Genomic DNA, 22,807 nt, shown 5'->3' on the forward strand with positions numbered 1-22,807 from the left:
GCATGACTGGAAAGTCCATCTTTCCTCCACGGAATTGAGGTGGTATCATCGTTGTAATTCAGACAGGTGCATAGATCTATTTCTGGACTTACTCTTCTGCTCATTTGTTCTACTTCTCTAAACTTGCTCTAGAGTCTTGTAACTGTGGCTTTATAACATACCTTGATCAGCTACTGTAAGATTTTCGTTTTGTTCATTTTCTTTGAGGTTTCCTTGGCTATATATATATATACTTTTGTGTTTTCACATATACTTTAGAAGAATTGCATCAGTTTCCATGGAAAAATCTGTAGGGGTTTTTTGGGGGAATTGCATCGACTATATACCTCAGTTTAGGGAGAAGTGACATTGTATAATGAATCTCCCAGTAGGTGAGTATAGATAGCTTTCCATTCCTATAGATCGTCTTTAATTTTTCTAAGTAACATTGTATCAGTTTCATACTGAGGTCTTCCACAACTTCCTCTAGGTTCATTTCTACTTATTTGATTTGTGATGCTATTTTAGTTAGTATCTTTTTAAAAGTTTATTTTCTATTTCATTGTAGCAGGCATACAGAAATGCACTACTTTTTGTTGCTGTTATTTTTATACAACAGCAGTACAGGACTTCACCAAATTCATGTGTTATTGCTAATGTTTTGTCAGTAGATACTTTGGACTTTTTATGTCTATAATGACTTTCCTTTTTCTGTCTTTATCTCTTTTATTTCTGTTTCTTGCCTCATTGCACTGACTAAAGCCTTTATTCCTATGTTGAATAGAATTTGGAATAGCAGATATAAGAGCTTTTTTGATGTTACATGCAAAGCTTTCAGAAATTAACCTTTAAATGTGAAGTTTGTGGTAGGTATTTTGTAGATACATTTATTGAAATATTGAAATTCCCATCTCACTCCTGTTTTCTGACAGTCTCTAGTCTGACTGTGTGTCAGAGTGTGGCTAATGTGTGTGTGTGTGTTGCACAATTTTAAATGATATATAATTTGTCTTTTCTTTCATTCTGCAAAGTGCATTGATTTATTTTGAAATATTTATTAACTTTGCATTCCTGGAATACATGCCACTTGGTCATAATGTATTAGCCTTTTTATTTACAACTGAATTATCATTCTGTATTGATTTTAGTGTCTTTGCGCCTATGTCAATGGGGGAGATAGGTTTCCAATTTCTAGTACCTTTGCCAGGTTTTATGTAAAAATAGTAAATTGGACTCATTATGGATACCGGGAAGCTTTCTCTCAGTTCCTATCTTTGTAAGATCTCACATAATATTAGTTTTACGCTTTCTCTCAAAATTTAAAATTTATTTTTACCCTTTCCCTCAAAATTTACTTGTGGGTTATTTTGCGCTTCTAGATTTTTGTTTTGTTTGGTAGATTTATATAGGTGGGCATGGGGGGAGAATTGTAATAGGTACAATTTCTTTACTGAATATGAGGCTACTAAGATTTTTAAATTTGTTCTTGTGACATATTTAGAAAGCATTTTAAAAATATTTTTCTCATTTCATTTAAACTGCCTAATTTATTGTTGAAGTAGTTTATAATAATTTTTCTTTTAATATCTATAGGATCTGTAATAAATTTCCTTTTATCATTCCTGATATTGGTAATATTTTATTTGATAAATCTTGCTCAGTTTAACTGTCTATAATCTTTTTTTAAAATAAGCCATTTCTTCGCTTTGCTAGTTTTTCTTGTTTTTCTTGTTTTTTTTCTTCTATTTCATGTTTTTGATATCTCTGTCTTTCTTTTCTTTTCTCTACCCTCACTGACTTTGATGTGTTGTTCTTTTGCAAGATTCTTGAGATCCAAACTTCGATGACTGATTTTATTTATTTTCTATATATGCATTTAAGGCTATTAATTTCCCTCTCTTAGCTTGACAATAATACATTCTGTGGCAATTCTTATGGTGGCTACCTTAGTTTTTCTAACATATGTCTTGGAACTTTATGGCCCAATAACAACTGTGTCTTATACTGAGATAGTTAAAAACATCTAGAGAAAGTGAACATGTGGTTGTCAAAGTAGCAGTAACAAGACTATGAGATAAATGCCCAATATAAATGATGGAAGCAAGAAGTCACCAGAATTGCATGCTATTCTTAAAGTTCTTTTGAAAGTCCCAAGGTAGAGTTTTATACAGAGTTATAGCATCATTGTAAATGAAGACAAAATAAAGACATCTAATAATGTTAGACATCCTAAGAATATTTCAGTATCAATTACCTCCTGCCCTTTGCATGTTTATTGGCATGAATTTAAATTATATACACACACACCTACACACACACACACACACACATAAAAATTCTAGAGGGCATTTATTATTTTGTATAATTCAATTCATGTTTAACTATTTTCTAATTAAATTATACCCATATTTTGTTTTTTTCTTTGTGTTTCATTCCTTTCTGTACTTTCTTTTTTTCATTTCATTGTCCAATCTGACAATTGTATAGACTTTGGTCTGTAGGCTAAAAACTGTTAGTTTTTGATTGACTAATATGTCTTTATTTTGTCTTCATTAGTTTTTGATTGATGAATATGTCTTTATTTTGTCTTCATTTACAATGATGCTATAATTCTGTATAAAACTTTACCTTGAGGCTTTTTAAAGAACTCATATATAGCGTGTAATTCCGGTGCCTTCTTGCTTCCGTGGCTTATATTGGAAAGTCATCTTTCAGCCTCGTTACTGCTACTTTGATGACCACATGTTCACTTTCCCTGGGTGTCTTTAAGACTTTTTGTCTTGTTCCCCCAGCAGTTTTCCTGCAATATGCCCATGGGTCAGGTTTCCTTTGAATGTATCCATCTTGGCTTAACAGATCTTTCTGAGTCTCTGGCCTGATGTCTACCTTCAGTTTTGGAAAAAATCGTGTGCTGTATCCCATCACATTTTGCTTCTGTTCAGATGTGATTTTCCCACTGTTGTCACTCCACGTTTCCCCCATGGGCTTGCTCTGCCCCTCCCATCCACAAACTCACTCCCGTTTCTACTGTCGCCATCTGGTCCGGGCCACCACCGTCACTCCCTTGGCCTGCTCAGAGGCCTCCTAACTCACCTCCTTATTCCATTCTCACCCCAGATTATCTGCTCCACAGAAACAGTGGCCAGGATTATACAGCGTATAACAGGCACGTTCTTCTCCTGCTTCCAACACTTCTGTGGTTTCCATTACGCTCAGAGCACAAACAAAATCCCCGTACCACACTAAGCCCACCGCCTCTGGCTCTTGCCAACTTCCCAGCCTCCTCACCTGCCCTTTCCTCCTGCTCATCATGCTCCAACCACAGTGCTGTGTGCCTGTGCCTGTGTGTGCAGCACGGATCTATGTGTGCATGCATGTGTGTTTGTATTTAGATGTGTGTTTATGCACACTTGTGTGTGTACGTACATATACATGCATGTACCTATGCGTGTATGGGTACATACTCATGCATGTGTGAGTGTGTTACCTCAATTATTCCAAGGGGCTTGGTCTCAAGCCCTCTTCCCCTGAGACCCCGTTCCCCTTGCCTGCTTGTCCTCTGTCCTCAAGTGGCTGGATCTTGAGATGCCCGTCCTCTGGCCGGGCCACCCATTCTGCCCCCTCACTATTGTTCTTCGTCTTGGTGCTGTGTGTGTTCCTCACAACCCTCATCTCTGCCACTTTCACTTGTTTCTTTGCCTAGGTTACCTAACTCTGTTTGCTTTGTGTGTGTGTATTGGGTGTAAGCGTCTCAATAGAAAACAGACTTCACAAGGCAGGGCCGGTTCTGTTCCAAGCTCGCTGTCTGCACCTGCTGAGTATTTTGAACACATGGATAAATGATGGCTTGAGGCTCAATAGATATTTGTTGGATTGATCGATGGTGTAATGCCTGTCTTTAAGTACAAACTGCAAAGTGAAGCCACCCAGATTTATTTCCTTTCTCTGGACCAAGTGTCCCAAACTGAACACTGAGACTGAGGCAGATTTGAAATGATCCAGCCCCTTGGTTCCCACCCCTGAGTGGTCTCAGAAGCCTTCCCCTTGAGCCTCCAACCCTTTCAGTCCTTCCTGAGACTGCGATCTTAGCAGACACCCTGGGGCTAGTTCAAGAGGTAAAAAATCCACTGAGATTTTATGCTGGTTCCGAAGTTCTTTATAGATCATTCCACGGCTTCTGATGTCTACGTGTTTATCCTGAACATTTCTTCTGTGTCAGAACAACAAACACATGCTTCCCCTTTGCATGCCCAGCGGGCACCATGGATTAACAAGCAGCTACTGGGCTGGGCTGGGCCAGGCACTGCCCGTGTATGACACAGAACCTGCCGGAAGCATGTGCTACTGTGGTTCCCACTTTGCATCTGAGGAAAGTGAGACTCCAGTTTCTATGCCCAAGGTCATGTGGCAATGGCCCTGGATCCAGGTCTCTGGGACACAGCCCAAGCTCCTCTCCGCTGGCCTAGACTGGCCATGGCTCTGTAGCATGATTGGGGGGGGTGACCATGTGCACCCTCAGCCCAGTGACTGACCCCTGTAGTGGTACCTCCGAAGGTGTCTTGTTAAACTTGAGTCTGATCATTTTCCCTCCCTGCTTAACTAGCCTTGCAGCATTCCTGTTCCTGGAGATCAAACGTAAAATTCTTGGCATTGCCTGGAAGACTGCACATGACTTTTTTTTTTTTTTTTTTTTTTTTTTTTTGACGGAGTCTCTCTGTGTCACCAGGCTGGACTGCAGTGGCATAATCTCGGCTCACTGCAACCTCCACATCCCATGTTCAAGCGATTCCCCTGGCTAGCCTCCTGAGTAGCTGGGATTACAGGCACACGCCACCCCGTCCGGCTAATTTTTTGTATTTTTAATAGAGACAGGGTTTCACCATGTTGGCCAGGATGGTCTCGATCTCTTGACCTCGTGATCTGCCTGCCTTGGCCTCCCAAAGTGCTGGGATTACAGGTGTGAGCCACTGCGCCCAGCCGGCGTCTTTCCCTACTGTATCCATCTACTTGGGCTGCCATAGTTAAGTATCACAAGCAACTTAGACAACAGAAATGCAGCTTCTCGCCGTTTTGGAGGCTGGAAGTCTCAAATCGAGGTGTCAGCAGGGTTGTTTCCTTCTGAAAGCTGTTAGCGAGTTCCAGGCCCCTCTCCAGTTTCTGGGGGTCTCAGGCACTCCTTGGCTAATCGATGGTCTTCTTCCCCCTGTGTGTTCATGGGGTCTCCCGTATGCGTGTCTGTCTGTCCCCATTTAGCCCATGTATAAAGGACACCAGTCAGATTAGATCAGGGCCCACCCTTATCACCTCATCTTGACTATCTGCAAAGACTCTACTTCCAAACAAAGTCACATTTACAGGTACTGGGGGTTAGGACTTCGGCATATTTTGTGAGGCATGATTCAACCCATAACACACACCCCTTCAGCCTCTGCCCTGCCCCCTTGGCCTTATTTTTGTACCTGCAACCCACAAACCTTTCCTGCCTCAGGGCTTTTCCCAGCCTGGAACTCACCCCTCCCACCCAGCTCATTGCCTCTTGGCCCTGAACTCCCCTCTCTAATTTGGATCCACTGTTCTTTGTCTCCATGCCATGCTCTCCTTACCCTTCCCAGTTGGAGGCATTTATGCATTTAATGTCAGGGTCGGTGAATTGTATACTGAGGCCTGGGACCCTCTCGTTCTATTCACGATGGCTTCTCCAGGCCTGAAGTGGTGTCTGACACACAAAGCACACTCAGTATAGCAGATGGAATAGGCATTGGTATGAGCTGGTGGAATTAAACTCGCTTGCTCGTTCTGAGACTGAGGACGCGCTGGTTCACACCGCCGGTTATGACGCGACACACGTAAACACAGAAAGGAAGCCAATATTGTGGGTGATGGCCCAGTGCCCTGGGGGACCCACACGGCTGCAGCGTGCATCCGCCGTCCCACCAGGGGCCACTCAGCCCTTCTCGGAGCTCTCTGGGGACACATTTCTTCGGGACATCAGAAAACGAGGTGGCGTTGTTTCCTTATAGAACAAAGTCAATTAGAGGGTCCAGGCGAACATCAGCAGTTTCGGTGCCTTATTCCCCTCGGGAAGGTGTGTGCCACATTCATAAAACCTGAAGGGCGTCCGGGAGCCGAGAGCTACAGATGGCTACTGTCTGTGCCAGGCAGACTGTGCAGCCTCAGAGGAAGCCCGGTGCTTCCAGGGTAGAGGAGAGGCCCCATCAGGACTCATCCAGGCCCCGGCACAAGTCCAGGGGTCAACCTGGAGGCATCAGGCACCATTGGTCAGAATGCTCTGCTGGCCAACAGTGGGCACCAAATTCAGAAGTGGGCAGCTACATTAAAAATGGGGAAGCAACTTCGATGTTCCTCAGCAGAAGCTTGTCTAAGTCCTTTACTGTCCACCCACAGACCAGAGTCCTGGCCAGGCAGGACATGTTTCTCTCAGAGGGACAATGAGTGATGTGGAAAGTGTTCACGGGTATTTTATGTGAAACACATTACAGCACATTCGAATGTTCCAGAGCCTCGGGCACATCTGATTTCAAGGTTGATAAAATGTTGTCTGCATCAACCATAGGGATCTGCACACACATATGTCATCTACGCACGTATGTGTTACGTATATATCAGGTGGAAAAATAAGGCTGGGATGATTTAGCGAGATGACTTGCTTTTCTAGCTGACCCTTTAAATTTATTCAGCAAGGTTCTCTTTTCTCCTGCCCTGTATGAAAACACAGGCAGCACCATGAATTTCCTTGTCACTCTCGGGTAATAAAAGATACCCAAGTTGGTTATTAGTATGCTCAGTCCAGTGTAATAATCAAAACTCTGAACAGGATTGAAAGCGGGGGCCTCTCCCATCTCTGTATTCAGACCTGCTCCGGGCAGAAAACCTGCAGGAGGCACTAGGGGTGTGGCCAGCTGTCCCCTTCCTCCCCACCTTGTGTTCTCCCTCCTCTCATCTTGTTAAAGTTTCACCCCATCAGGGTTCTTATTTGAGTGGTACTCCAGTGAGTTGGGTCTGGAAGGGGCTCAGAGCTGCCTGGTGGGCCCATGAATACATTTTTTCTGAGGTCCTTTCTTAGCAGCTGGGGGCTCCTGTGTGGCACGCGGAGGAGGGCAAAGGTCTCTGTCCCACTGCCCATTCTTCTGTCCTCAGCCCGGGGCCTCCTGGGGCCTCCAGCTGCTTTCTGCTAAGGTGATTTTGACTATCCCAAGGACATGGGCTAGGATGACCCCCTTTTGCTTGCTTTTCCCTCTGCCCACATCTGTGCACAGCAATCCTTTTTATTTTATTTTATTTTATTATTTTTATACTTTAAGTTTTAGGGTACATGTGCACAATGTGCAGGTTAGTTACATATGTATACATGTGCCATGTTTGTGTGCTGCACCCATTAACTCGTCATTTAGCATTAGGTATATCTCCTAATGCTATCCCTCCCCCCTCCCCCCACCCCACAACAGTCCCCAGAGTGTGATGTTCCCCTTGCTGTGTCCATGTGTTCTCATTGTTCAATTCCCACCTATGAGTGAGAATATGCGGTGTTTGGTTTTTTGTCCTTGCCATAGTTTACTGAGAATGATGATTTCCAATTTCCTTATGTGTCCTTTGCACCCAAAACTTCTGGAAAAGCAGAGTTGATTCAGGGCCTGAGATCTTCAAAGGCTCTTTGGCGATTCAGTTGTGTTTCTAGCTTGGAAATGGCTTGCTCACATCTCACTTGACCTAGGTTTTGGGGCCAAGAGGAAAAGTTTGAGACTCATGTGGGGGTCAGGGAGTTGGCAAGGAGTGAGGGAGGCTGTCTGAGCTGCTTTAATTTTAGATTTTCCTTGACTAGGCAAAAAGAGCGCTCCCTAAGATGAAGCTGAGCTCACCAGGGCCCTTTAGTGGGGTCTGAGTCTTCAGTGCAATAAAACGTGTTCATTTGCAGGTCATTATCTCCTGGGTGAATTGGTCCCTCAAGGGCAATGAGGGGAGGGATAGCTGTAACTGGTTCTCTGGGGTGTGCTGGCTGTAGCTCTCCCTCATCACTGGTCACCGTGAGGACCACTCAGTAGTGTGTTCAGGGAGAAATGACACAGATAGCCAGATTGTCACTGTAGAAAGATTTCAGTCTTGGTGGCCTAACTTCTGTGGGTGATGGATGGAAGAGCTATCTAACTATAAGGTGACTTCTTTGAATAAGATTTTTTTTTTTTTTGAGACAGAGTCTCGCTCCATCGCCCAGGCTGGAGTGCCTGCACTGGAGTGCAGTGGCGCGATCTTGGCTCACTGCAAGCTCCGCCTCCCGGGTTCACACCATTCTCCTGCCTCAGCCTCCTGAATAGCTGGGACTACAGGCACCCACCACCACACCCGGCTAATTTTTTTGTATTTTTAGTAGAGACAGGGTTTCGCCATGTTAGCCAGGATGGTCTCGATCTCCTGACCTCGTGATCCGCCCGCCTCAGCCTCCCAAAGTGCTGGGATTACAGGCGTGAGCCACCGCACCCGGCCTGAATAAGCTATTTTTTAGAACAGTTCTAGGTTTGCAGAAAAACTGCAAAGATAAGGTAGAAAATTTCCACATATGTCACATCCAGCTTCCCTACTATTAACATATCCCAGTAGAATGGTACGTTTGTCATAATTGATGAACCAATACAGACATGCCTTTATTAACTAAATTTCATAGTTTATTTTGATTTCTCTATGGTGTTTTGTTATAAATCTAATAAATCTAATGGCCTTTATTTTTCTGTTCCAGAATCTCATATAACATTTAATCATCATGTCTCCTTAGATTCCTACTGGCTGAGCCTGTTACTCAGACCTTCCTTGTTTTTCATGACCTAGACAATTTTAAGGAGTGTCAGGGATTTTGTGGAATGTCCCTTAAATGGGGTTTGTCTGATGTGCTTCTCGTGGTTTGACTGCGGTGACCACAAGGGCGTGGTGCCCTCTCATCACACTGTGCCAGGTGCTTGCTGTCAATGTGACCCTCGCTGGTTGGTGCTGACCTTCGCCACCTGGCTGAGGTGTATTCATCAGGTTTCTTTACTGTAGAGTTCATCTTTCTTCACCTCTCCATACTGGACTCATAGCAAGGAAGCCACCATGCCTAGCCCAAGTTAAAGGGGGAGTAACTCCATCAATCATTTGAAATTCTTCTGCACGTCAGATTTGTCTCTTTTCTCCTACTTATGAATTTATGCAGTCATTTACTCATCAGCGTGGGTTCATGGATACCCATTTGATCCTCTGGGTTACAATGCGGAGTGACGTTCTTTTGTTGCTCACTTGTTCCAGCGCTGGCTATCGGGTCCCCTGGATGCGCCACTTCACTGTGGGTGGTGTGAGCCCTTCCTCACTTTCTGGCCCTACAAGATGCTCCAGGCTCAGCTTGTACACTCCCTGCCCAGCCCTAGAGTCAGCTGCTTCCCCAAGGAGCCCAGGTTCCTTCCACTGGATCACGGAATCGGAAACCAAAGTAGATGGGGAAGGAAGCGAGCGTATGAGACTGAGGGGAACAGAGCAGGACGTGAGGGCAACGGCGGGGCAGGGCCCACCCTTTCTGTGTTCAGACCCCTCATCTTCAACCTGAAAGTCATCACAGTCATTGTCCCTTCCCACCAAGGAGGGGCCCTGGGGAATTCCTTCTCCTTGTCCCCATAGATCTGGGCTTATGTCCTCTGTACCAAGACTTTCCCACCACTGTCATCCTGAAAAGGGAGACCACAGCACTGATGTAAAGCAGAGAGAGATGCCCTGCGTGGGGAAGAAGGCACAGTGGGCAGAAGCTGGGAGGTGGGTGCGGGGCAGCGAGTGTCATGGGGGCAGCGAGGGTCACAGGGGCATCCTGTCCCAGCGAGGGCAGGCCAGGAGCCACGGCCTTGAAGCGTTTCGGGGACAGCCACTTCCAGTGGTCCTGCTCGGTGTCTTCCATACTTGACTTCCGTGCCACGGCTTTCCCCCATGCCTTGTCCTAAACTCACCCCAGGGTCAGGGGGACTTTGGCACCGCCAGGCCTCACTTGGTGCAGACATCTCTCTCCTAAGTGCTCTCAGATGGACAATCTCATTTGACCCTGAAGTGGTTTTGGCATTTGCAGTGTCTGATGAGGAAACTGAGTCCCAGGGAAGTTGAACAAGTTGTCAGAGGCCACGTACGTCTTCCACAGCAGATGCAGGATGTGAGGCGCGTTCATGGGGGTTACAGAACTTTGCTGTTTCACACGGGGAAGCCGCCGTTCAAGGTCACGTGTCTAGTAAGTGATGACGCAGATCTCCGTTTTCTAGTAACTGTGCAACCCGATGTTTGTTGATTTAATACAATTCGAATCATCGGGATTTTCCAAAGCTCTTTTGTTGAGGCCTAGAGTCATGACGTCACTCAGCTCCGTCCACAGGGAGCCATGCTCAGGGAGCTGCCCAGGCAAAGTGGGACTCTGCCTCCATTTTGGCCCATGGAGAACCTTCTCCTGGAGGCAGGCAAGGGTGGGATCTGGGGCCTCCCCCACCTGCAGCTGATCAATATCTCCTGGGCTTCCTTCCAACAGAAGAACACTTAGAACTTTTGCTGCAGCCGGGGGCCATGCCCTGGGGCTGTCCTTCCAAATTCTCATACCTGCCAAGGACCCCTGGCTGCTGCTAATTGAAGAGCACCAAAGGTTAATGGTGGAAGGTTAACAGCAGGGCCTAGTGCTTTGGGGCTGAAAGCCAAGTCTCAGATGATGAAGGCTGGGGAGACCTTCTAGACGCTTCCTTTTATCAGCGTGGGTATTTATCAGTTCACCTACAAGTGGGGGGCAGGGGTGACTTACTTCAACCCTGTGAACTGGCTTTCCCCGACAGCCACTGCTGTAACGACGATGAAGTTGCCCTGGAACGCGCGTGCGTCCACATTCATTGCACCCCTTCCCAGTAAAGTGGATGAACAGGTGTGACTGCTGCAGGACAGATGAGGATGCTGGCTGAGAGAGGTGCAGCGGCGAGCCCAGGGCTGGACCTGAAGCCATATTCTGTGCTTATCCGTGCCTGTCTTCCCAATGCTCGGGCTAAGTCTCTGGATTCTGAATGATCGCCATTTGCCTGTACTTGGCTTTCTTGTGATTTGGGGATTCTGGGAGTTCCCACGCCTTTGCTTCTCTGTGTGCACCTGCAGCCCAATGCCAGCAGCCACAGCAGCACCATAGAGCAGAAAGCAGAGTGCCAGCACCATGGACCAGCACCCATGCACCCGCCCCCTGCCCACCTGGAACACTCCAGGCTCCCTGAGCCTACTCCAAGCCTCTGCTCAGCCAGTCTGTCCCTTTCTCTGCGTCTTCGCCTGTGCTGAGGGTCCCTCTGCCTGAAGTACTCTGACTGCGGCCCTGACCACCCCCAGGCTCCTCTCCATCTGTCTGCACATGCCAGGGCCTTGTCCTCCTTCAGCCCCGGTCACCTCCAGAAGCCTCAGCTAGCACAGCCCTCCCCTGCACACGGCTATCACAGCCCCGTGTGCCTGCCTCACAACATCTCCCCAAACCCCAGAGGCCTTTTCCTGGTTGTCCTGGCTTCCTTGAATGTCAGTTCTGCTGGAGCTGCCAGAGGCGGCTGGAGCCCTGACTTGTCTCCCTGTCTCGCCACTGTGCCCGGGCCCTGGAAGAGTCCCTGGTGATTCCAGGCAGGCAGTCTTTATCTCCCCAGGAACAAGGATGAAGGGATGAGCGTGGATGTGGTAGCGTGCACCTGCTTTCTGCTTTATTCCGGGACAATGGGAAGTGGATGGCAACCTCCTCATAATGGATGCCTGTGAGCCCATTGGGGGCCGGATGGAATCTCTTCCTTAGATGTGTGCCTTGGGAATGTTTGCCCCAACTCTGCATGTGTGAGACAGAGAGAAGGAGGGGTGGGTTTAAAATGAAAAATTATATATCCTACCTATTAGGTCACGAGAATATGACAAAGAAAAGTAAAGCAGACTCAGGCATAGTGACAGGAGTACTGTTTTGAATTTACTGGGAAGGTGATATTTTATCAAGGGTTCAGTTGAGGACAGGAGTGTGACATGAAGGTATCTTGGAGATGAAGAGTCCAGGTCAGGGGAGTGACTCATGCAAAGGCCCTGGGGTGGGAGTGTAGCAGAGAGATGGGAGCAGAGAGAGGAGGGCTGAGTGGCTGCAAGTGGCTAAAGGGGCGACAGCAAGGGGATGGATGGGAGAGGGGCTGTGGCCATGGCAAGAATGGGGACTCTATTCTGGGTGAGGGGCAGCCATGAGGGGCCAAGCCAGTGAGGCAGGGTGGGACACACTTTGCAGGGGTTCCCCTGGCTGCCGGCTGCATGGAGAGCAGTCCATGAGGCACCATGTTGCTGGCCTGGCCATGGGTTGCTCTAACAGAGGCATGCCTGAGTGACTGCCCAGATATTTTACCTCTTTTGATTCGATGTGTTAATTTATATTTTCTTACTAAACTGTTGAATCACACAGAGTCTATTAAAGATGTCTCTTACATCCTTTTTACTTTCCCTTCATCTATTGTCATAACCCTCTTCTGTGACTTTTTCTCTTTTTCTGAGTTAGGCTGGAGAGTTGTTGATTAAAAAATATCAGTCTATAGATTTGCTTCATTTCAGTGTTATTGTTTTGCTATTATCTATTTAGTTTTGCTCTGACCTGTGTTAATTTGGTTTTGTTTATGCTACACTTCTTTGTTTCTCTTTTATTAATTTGTTGAGTTGAATCTTTATTTTTTATTTATTCCTGAAATGGAGTCATTTCTCAGAGCTCTATCGACGTATTTACTTTGTCTGGTATGTGAGATTCCTTCCCACTTGCCAAGGTCAAGCAGATTTCCTCTTATTGAGCTTCTTTACAGGGTTCCTGCTGCCATTGATATGTTGCCTCTTCAACCCCATCAGTTTCCTGCCCCTGAGAATCACACTGTCCCCTCTTTGTTTTCGTGTTCTTCCTGAGGTCTTTCTTCATTGTGCCCTTTCCTCTTCATTCTGTGAAATGTTCTCGAATCTGCCTTTGATAGCATTATTTTTATTTTCTTCAGGATCAGTTCTCATCTTATTAAACTTGAATGGATATTATGTCTGTGAATTACCTTTTTTAAAAATGTCTTAATCATTAATTCATCTCAGAATATCCTTTGACCATGATAACATTTGTCTTATTTGATAGACACTGTATTTTCTTTCATATCCTAGGAGGTCAACTGCAGAGGCTGCTCACAGTTACATGCGTGTGTGCTGTCAGTCAGCAGCAACAGACTCAGGGCCTCCCGTGGGTTCAGGGGACACAGCAGAGAAAAGAGAGGCTGGCCCTGCTCTCCTGGAGCCCCCTTCTCAGGAAGAGACAGACATGCATGCACAAGGGAGATGTGATTTAAGATTTAAGGTGGAAATAAATGCAACCAGGGGAGGTGGACCGTGTGACAGGGGCCTCGCTGGCTTCTGTGCTGGTCAGGGCAGACTTCCTGGAAGTGTCAGGGGTGCAGAACATGAACCACACAAAAGATCCACCCTGAAAACCAGCTGAGGAGGAGGATTCTGGGCAAAGGGATAGATGGGTAAGCTCCCAGGCTTGTGGGAAAAAGCATAGCCAGTGTGAAAGTCTGAGAAATACAAGTAGGGATGATGCCAAACAAAACTAATATTCATTTAATCAGTTGAGCACAAAATTCCCTACCTGAGCAACAACACTGGGAGGTGGAAGGGGGAAAGAGGTAGGAGGCAAAAACAGGACAATTCTCATTGTGCTTTGCATAGGAAGGGGCCAGTAAATATGATTTTATTCTTGAGATTGATCTACAAGAAGAGGGTCAACTGAGTGGCTTACTGGAGAGGTAAGCACTAGTAGAATAAAAATGAGCATAAAGAAGAGTATTTTTCATCTATCTGTCGTATGGAATTCACTTAAGCTGCATCATATTTTCATGTTTTTAGTTTTCTCCTCTGTTCACTTATCCTTGAATGAGGGCCAGATCTACTGAGGCCTGCAGCTGGCTGTGAACACTGTGTGTGAATCCTCTGGGGGCCTCTCTTTGTTCAAAATATTCATAGTACTTAACATTTCAAATTCAATATTCAGGAGCCCAAGCAGAGAGGAGGGAACCAGGTCTGTGTGCCTGGGCTGCAGAGCCAGCTCTCCACCTGTTTTCCATTTGGTGTGGGTTCCCAGCATGCATGAAACATAACGTGGTGACATTCCGCCTTCTTAATGGAGTCCTGTCATTAGTCAGTGCTTTTTCAATTTCAGAGAGCGTTTTCTAACGTATGGTCCAATATGCTACTTGGAGAGAGCTGGGTCACCAGCAAACAAGCAAACATCAAAAACACTTTCCTCTTGGGTTTTCATTCAATTGAATTACATTTAGTGAATATTTACTGAGTTTCTGCTTATGTGTCTGGAAGTGACCCAATCTCAGATCTCTTTAAGTTGAAAAAGAGTCTTAGTGCTAAGCTCTTGATGGTAGGGCGGGCAGCCCCGGGGGCCTGGCATCGTGAGGCACTCTGCAAGTCAAAATGGGGGAGCAGAAAAGCCAGTGGCAAAGGGAGAAGCTCTGTCTACAGCAAAGCGGAAGAACGGACAGGAGTCCTGGAGGGAAGAAAACCAAGGAGACGATTTCTCCTTCAGACAGAGGTCATTGCCTTTATCTATGTGTGTGCCATGTCAGTCTGGCTCAGCTGCTGCAGTGCGTGGTCCCGGAAACGTGCTTTCAGAATCAAGAGGGACTGGTCATCGTGATGAAGTATGGGTTGTGTGGGATGTCTGGGATGAGTGCGTCTAGGCACCCTGAATGCTGCTGCCTCTGGATGGTCCAGGCAGTCACTGCAAAGAACAAAATACTCATGACATGCTTAAGGGCTTCGATGCTAAGTGCATCACTTACATCATCCCCTTATCACATTTCTTCCTGATAATATGCCTATGAATCACATTTATTACCGCATTCCGGGGAGGCACCTCTGGCTTGAGAGCTCTGGCGGGTCTTGGTTGTGTGGCTCTGAAGGCTGCCCCACTTTAAGACTCCAGGTCTTTCCCATGTCGATAACTCGGATTTCTTTTGTGAGCTTTTCTGTGTCTGATTCAGACTCAGCTGTCGCTTACCAGCCAGTGTCTGGCCTGGTCAGGGTTCAGGATAGCGGATCTGCACCAGGTTCCCTTTTCAGCTTTCAGTAGCCAGAACCACGTGGCTTACTGCCCCCTTTTGGGATGTGGCTGTGTGTCTTAGATTGTTTGGGTAGCTATAACAAAATATCACAGCCTGGGTGGCTTTTAAACAGCAGATTAATTTCTCACAGCTCTGGAAGCTGGGGAGCCAGGATCAAAGTGCTGGCAAATTTTGTGGCTGGTGAGGGCCTGCTTCCTGCTTCATAGATGACACCCTCTCACTGTGTCCTCATGTGGTGGAAGGGGGAGGGTCTCTCTCAGGCCTCTGTTATAAGGGCACAGGTATGGTTTGTATCTGTGTCCCCACCCAAATCTCACGTTCAACTGTAATTGCAATGTTGGAGGTGAAGTCTGGCGGAAGGCGATTGGATGATGGGTGCGGTTTCTTGTGCTTTAACACTATCCTCCTTGGTGCTGTCATCGAGATAGTGAGTTCTCACAAGATCTGGTTGTTTAAAAGTATGTGGCATCTCCTCCCCCTCTCTCTTTCTCCTGCTCCAGCCATGTGAAGTGCTGGCTCCCCTTTCAGCTTCCACCATAATTGTGTTTCCTGAGGCCTCTCCAGAAGCAGAAGCTGCTATGCTTCCTCTACAGCCTGCAGAACCATGAGCCAATTAAGCCACTTTTCTTTATAAATTACCCAGCCTCAGGTATTTCTTTACAGCAGTGTGAGAATGGAGGAATACAGGCACTAATCCTATTCACGAAGGTGGAACTATCATGATTTAATCACCTCCGAAAGGCCTCATCTCCAAATACCATGACCTGGGCGGGGTTGGGGGTGGGGGCGGTTAGGATTAAAACAGACGAATTTTTGGGATACACAAACATTCAGACTTCCATGAAGATCCAGCCTGGAGGGAGATGTGCCTTGTTTTGGCAGAGCCCACTCTCTTTGAGCTAAGGTCTAATGTGCTCCATGAATAAACTGGAAGGATCAGCGTCTCAGACCAAGACTTGCCTTGACGCGGGGAGCCCACTCCGATGATTGAAGAAGTGGAACGATTGTGCCAACCTTCCTGGGAAATGATGCTCTAAAAACGTTTCCATGTCATCTCTTCTTCTGGGCTGCAATGAGTAATTTGCATGTCATTCTTATCAGCTCACGCAAGGCAATCATTGCCAATCGCTGCCAAGCCCACTGGCTGGCCTAGGAGGGAGCCAGCCAGATGAGTTCTAACTGTTAATCTTCCAGAAACAAATACAACAGAATAAAATAAACCAGCTCTTGTTTCTGATCCCGGGTAATGGCTCTTTGAGGGTCCTTAGAAACTGTCTCTCCACCTTTCCTTTTCGCAGGTGAGAGTACTAGAAATCACAGACACAGCAGGATGGTCAACATTGTTGGTTCCCATGGGAGGAGAAGGAAAGTGGATGAAAAGGTCTTAAAAATAAGTTTCTGCAGAAGGTTTCCTGGTAATAACCCTGCAGGCATGTGAAGAAAATGCCTCTTTTCCAGGCCGCCAGCTCCCTCGTGGCCTGGCTGTGTCACATGCCTGGTTTTCAGACGGAGTGATCCAGACCCTCAGTTGTCATTCAGTGACTTTTACTTGATCTTGTCGCAGGTGAAGCCTGGAACACACATGGTGCTGTCACTGGGGTCCACCCAGCCCGGAGCAGAAAAGAAATGGTCCCCTGTGGCCTCTTCCCTCTCACTCCCTCGCTCCTGTGCATCTCAGGGACGGTAGACCGTCCTTCCGTTTGCCTCCCACTCACAGTTCCAAAAAGTACCACGTCCAGGGCTTTTGATCAGGCTGAAATCTCCTGCTCTGTGCAGGGACTAGAATCAGAAAAATGCAGGATTCAGGGCTGGTTCTGTGTGGTGTTATTCACCTCAGTTTCCTCATATGAAAAATGAAAATTGAGGTATTGCTTACACATTTCTTATTAGAACTTGAAGGCTGGGCATGGTGTCTCACGCCTGTAATCCCAGCATTTTGGGAGGCCAAGGCGGGCGGATCACGAGGTCAGGAGATGAAGGCCATCCTGACTAACATGGTGAAACCCCGTCTCTACTAAAAATACAAAAAAAAAAAAAAAAATAGCTGGGCATGGTGGCAGGCACCTGTAGTCCCAGCTACCTGGGGGGCTGAGGCAGGAGAATAGCTGGAACTCTGGAGGCAGAGGTTTCAGTGAGCCGAGATCGCACCAATGCACTCTAGCCTGGGTGACAGAGCAAGACTCAATCTCAAAAAAAAAAAAAAAAAAAAAAAACACAACAGAACTTGATATAATGTAAATGTAAAACAACTGACTATAACATGCAGTGCCCGATAAGTGGTATATTTAATTGTTACCACATAAAATGCTGCCATTGCAGGTGCCTCTTGTTTTAACCTTGTGCGTTGATTTTTGTTCGAATCCATTCATCCACCCATCCATTCAATGACTGTTTTAGATGCTCACCACATTCCAGACACTGCTCACTGTTGTTTTCCAAAAACAAATGCTTCTTGCTGCCAACCGTGCATGTCTTTCCACTGCTCAAGGAGCCTGGCGCCCCTCTCTCGGTGCATTACCCAACACCACACACAGGAGAGCAAACAGCAGCCTTCATAGGCCTTCCTCAGAGGAAGCAGAGGAAGAGGAAAGGTCAGACCTGCTTTGACAGCTCTTCATTGTCTTGCCTGCACTGCCCAGCCTATTCTTAATGAAAACTAAGCATTTGTTCCCCAAATATTTACTGACTTCATTTGCGTGCCATGCCAAACGAAAGCTCTTGTTCCAAGATATTGTTTCTAAACGTGCAGCTTTTTCCTCACTAGCTGTTTCTGGGGTTATAGTCACTTGTAGTGATTGCTGGCTGTCCTGGTGTCCCCCTGCTGAGAAGCAGGAGCCATTGCTAGGTTCTAGAACCACAAGTTGGGCAAAGCGGAGGCTTCAGAGATAGAATCCCCTACTAGATTGCTTTTTCAATGTCACCCAGATCGTTACTATTTGACGTCTTTTTCCTTCCTTGGAAAACAATGCTTATGATACCTACGTTAGGGTCAACGTAAGAAGTGAATGTGTTAACATTTGTAACTTGAAAACACAGGGTTTCTGCCAAAGAAAGAAGACTAAACAGAGGTTGAGAGTCCACTAACTCTGCTTCGAACACAGAAATGTTGGATTAAACATGTTGAATGTAAGAAATATAGGTCAGGTTGAAAATAAGGAGAATCACCGCATGCTTGAAATATAGATGTGCTTTCTAGCCAAAAAGTCAGACAGAGTCGCAGAGGCGTGGCCCTCCACTTGGTGCTGACAGGCTCATCAGGATCTGAGGTGGAGCGAGTTAAAGGAGCCATGTCGAGAGGGGCTTCCTGCATAAAGTGCTGCGTCCTTTGTGAAAAGGGCACTGTGGAGTTTACAGCTGGTGTTTCCTGTCTGTCCACTCAGAAGCAAACCATCTTCCCAAGGCCACGGGTAAAAGCAAAGCATCTCCAACAAAACAAAATCTGAGCCTGTATTGTTAGTATGTGAGAGACATGAATTTCCTGTTGAACGTGGTGCAGAAACCCTGAGTGTGCTCATATGCACACTCACACTCACACACACATTTATCCTAGATCAGTGGAACCAATAGGGCGCCAATATAAGCAAAGCTTAAACTCTGAGTAACACATAACTTTCACTGAGAATAAAAAATACAGAATAAAAAATACAGATTCGCTTCAGAAATCCACCCAAGAAAATGAATAAACAAGGTCATCTCATGCAATTTGAAGAAGGTATTTAACATCCTTAAAAAGACAACACAAAGAGTAGATTACATTAAAAATGAAAACATGAAGATTAGTGTAGAGTTTTACTTTTGGTTATAATAAAACAAATAATGTGGACCGACATTCCTATTGCAAAACAACTAGAAAAAGAGGCAAAACTTTTGGAACTGCATTGATGGTATCAGAGAGCTCTCGAGGCAGAGAAGCATTATGGGGCCAAGATGTGGCGGAAGAAGAAAACTCACAGAGGTGGCCCTGGCATGTGGAGTCAGCATTTGCTCCATTCCAGCACCATCTGATGACTTGTTCTGTGTTGATGAAGATGCTGTATGTCTTCTCTGTCCACTGAGGCAGCCACTAGCCACACACGGCCACTGAGCACCTAATATGTGACCACTGTGGCTGAGAATCTGAATTTTAGATATTATTTAATTTTAATTAACTCAATGTAACTAGTGGTTGCTATATAGGATAGCACGGCTCTAAAAGCATTTGCCAAATTTGGACAAAGCAGCTGAGAGGCTGGGAGGCTAGTAGGAGCTTTCATCTGACAATTGGAACGGGGGGACAAAATCGCAATATTAAAGCCCAGATCTGCTCAGAATGGGGATGAAATGGATGATGTTATGAGACGCTCAGCCTCCCTTCAAGACACAATATTCTTTGTGTTGTCTATTTGAGGCCAGGGGTCAGCAAATGACAGCTCATGAGCCAAATACGGCTCACTGCCTATTTTTGTAGATGACGTTTTAGAGGAATGCATCCACCTTCATCTGTTCTTTAGAGTGGATGGCTGCTCTCACACTGCACCCGCAAAGATGAAGAATTGTGACAGCCCGTAGGGGCTGCAAAGCCTTAAATATTTACTATCTGGCCCTTTACAGAAGAAGCTTGTCTAGGTGCTGACTCCCCAGGCTTCCAGGAGTGTTGGCAGGTGACAGGTCATAGATGACTTGCTCTTAGCTGAAGGGAAGTACTTTCCCCAGGGCTACACATTCTGCCTGGGGCTGTACAGACCCATTGCCTGGTGATGCACGGTAAAGAGTTGGTCCCCTCACATAAATTGAGGACAGCAATTAAGGGCCACTGCAGCTCCAGAGCTCCCACGGGATCAGCCAAGGCTTCCGATAGAACTGCATCCCGGTTCTTTGCCCTATCCTGCCTCCTTTCCTCTCTCATAGCCTTGTTCCCAAGAACACTCCCCCAAAATCTTCAGCAAACAAATCTTTGTCTCACAGTCAGTTTCCTGAGAGCTCTGCCTAAGAAAGGAGTTCAGCAATTCTCCTCAAAACCTTTGATTGGTGACTCAAAGGAATATATTCTAGGAGTAAGAGTAAAACAGAAAGAGAGGATCTTAAAGGGGGATAATGCCCAGGTTCAAACTGAGCTTGCCTTGACTAAAGACCCTGAGATTACTAGTGTTTCTAGTGTAGCCACTGGCCGGAAGCAAATATAATTCCTCTCTAGAAAAAGACAACATTATCTGAAACATTAAGCTCTGAACTTTTCAAATATAGTGTCCAGCATTTACTAAAAGTATCCAGGCATGTGAGACAACAATACAGCTGCAAACCCAGAAGAAACAATAGGTATTAAGAGCAAATTCCTAGGAGATTAAGGTGATACATTAGGAAATATTCCTTCAAATAAATATATTTTATATTCCCAAGGAAATAAAAGACAAGATTAAAAAGTTATGTAGAAAATTGGCAACTAATAAAAAAATTTAGAATTATAAAGCAAAGGAAACAAATCATCTAATGGAAGGATTTACATCAACATTAGACACAGCTGAATAGAAAATCAGAAAACTGGAAGACAGGCCAGAAGAAAATATTCAGGCATGTGCTTAGTGATAAAAAGACTTTAAAGATATATAAAAAATAATTAGAAGCATAGGGACTATGGTGTAAAAATTTAATATATGTGTAATTAAAGCCCTACAAGTAGAGGGAAAAGAATACGGTATAAGACCAATATTTGAAAGCAATAGGATGAGAATTTTCCAAAAGTGACTATAAATACCAAGTCATACCAAACATGAAACCTAGGCAGAACAAATGAAAAGAAAAGCACAATCACAATATAGAAAACCTCTGCACCAGTAAGAATGGCAATTATTAAGAAGTCAAAAAAAAATAACAGATGCTGGGATGGTTGCAGAGAAAAAAAGAATGCTTATACACTATTGGTGGGAGTGTAAATTAATTCAACCATTGTGAAAGACAGTGTGGTGATTCCTCAAACACCTAAAAACAGAATTACTGTTTGACCCAGCAATCCCATTACTGGATATGTATCCAAAGGAATATAAATTGTTCTATTATAAAGAAAAATGTATACATATGTTCATTGCAGCACTGTTCAAAATAGCAAAGACATGGAAGCAACCTAAATGCTCATCAGTGGCAGACTGCATAAACAAAATGAAGTACGTATTCACCATGGAATACTAGGCAGCCATGAAAAAATAAGATTATGTCCTTTGCAGGAACATGGATGGAACTGGAGGCCATTATTCTTAGCAAAGTAACACAGGAACAGAAAACCAAAAACTACATCTTCTCACTTATAAGTGGGAGCTAAATAATGAGAATACATGGACACATAGAGGGGAACAACACATACTGGGGCTTGTCACATTAGTGATATTTTCTCAAATTAGCTCAGTGGAGGGTGGGAGGAGGGAGAGGATCAGAAAAAATGGCTAATGGCCACTGGGCTTAACATAATACCTGGGTGACAACCCCCCATGACAAAAGTTTACCTACATAACAAACCTGCACATGTTCCCCTGAACTTAAAAGTTAAGTTAAAAAAAAAAAAGAAAAAAAGAAAACCTCTGAAAACCAAAGACAGAAAAGCTTAAGGTTGATAAAAAGTTAAAAACAACAACTACCCAGATTTCCTTCAAAGGAGTAAGAATAAACTGACAGCTCATTTCTTAATGGAAAAATGAAAGCCTAGAGATAATGGGTGAATGATGAAAGAGTTGAAATGAGAAATTAATAGCAACAAAATAACTAGAAAATCCTCACATATGTTAAAATTAAACAGCACAACTTTAAACAACTTTTTTTTTTTTTGAGATGGAGTCTCACTCTGTTGCCCAGGCTGGAGTACAGTGGCACGATCTTGGCTCACTGCAACCTCTGCCTCCTGGGTTCAAGCAATTAGCCTGTCTTAGACTCCCGAGTAGCTGGGATTACAGGCACACACCACCACTCCTGGCTAATTTTTGTATTTTTATTAGAGACAGGGTTTCCCCATGTTGGCCAGGATGGTCTCGAACTCCTGACCTCATGATCCGCCCACCTCGGCCTCCCAAAGTGCTGGGATTACAGGCATGAGCAACCGTGCCCAGCCTAAACAACTCTTTGGTCAGAAACATCAATATAAAACTTGGAGGCCGGGCGTGGTGGCTCACACCTGTAATCCCAGCACTTTGGGAGGCCAAGGTGGGCGGATCACGAGGTCAGGAGATCGAGACCATCCTGGCTAATATGGTGAAACCCCGTCTCTACTAAAAATACAAAAAATTAGCCAGGCGCGGTGGCGGGTGCCTGTAGTCCCAGCTACTCGGGAGGCTGAGGCAGGAGAATGGTGTGAACCTGGGAGGCGGAGCTTGCAGTGAGCTGAGCTGAGATCACGCCACCGCACTCCAGCCTGGGTGACAAAGCGAGACTCCGTCTCAAAAAAAAACTTAGAAAATATTTTGAACTGAATGTAACAAAAATAATACATAGCAGAAGCTATGAGATAAAGCTAAACTAATGCTTAAGTGCAAAATTATTTATGAAATGGAAATCTGAGAAAAGCAAAGTGTGCATTTGCCAATATAGGATGATAGAATATATTTTAGGTAATAATTTGTTCCCTTGATTTACAGTATGTAAATATTTATATCTATGCTTTGAAAGCCCTCACCTGCACTTTAACCCAGACCTAACAATGTTCTGGATGGTCTGATTTCTTAAAA

The 22,807-nt window shown here is 45.3% G+C and overlaps 1 annotated feature.

The window, feature by feature from the left end:
* Positions 9,761-10,960: an enhancer, noted in NCBI's record as "BRD4-independent group 4 enhancer chr22:48279628-48280827 (GRCh37/hg19 assembly coordinates)". NCBI's record gives its function as "activates an origin of replication core promoter dependent on BRD2, P300/CBP, MED14 and CDK7 cofactors, and independent of BRD4, by STARR-seq in HCT116 cells {active_cell/tissue: HCT116}" and the evidence as "EXISTENCE:reporter gene assay evidence [ECO:0000049][PMID:35650434]".

Source organism: Homo sapiens, chromosome 22, assembly GCF_000001405.40.
Source record: "Homo sapiens chromosome 22, GRCh38.p14 Primary Assembly".
In the NCBI taxonomy this organism is placed as follows: Eukaryota; Metazoa; Chordata; class Mammalia; order Primates; family Hominidae; genus Homo; species Homo sapiens.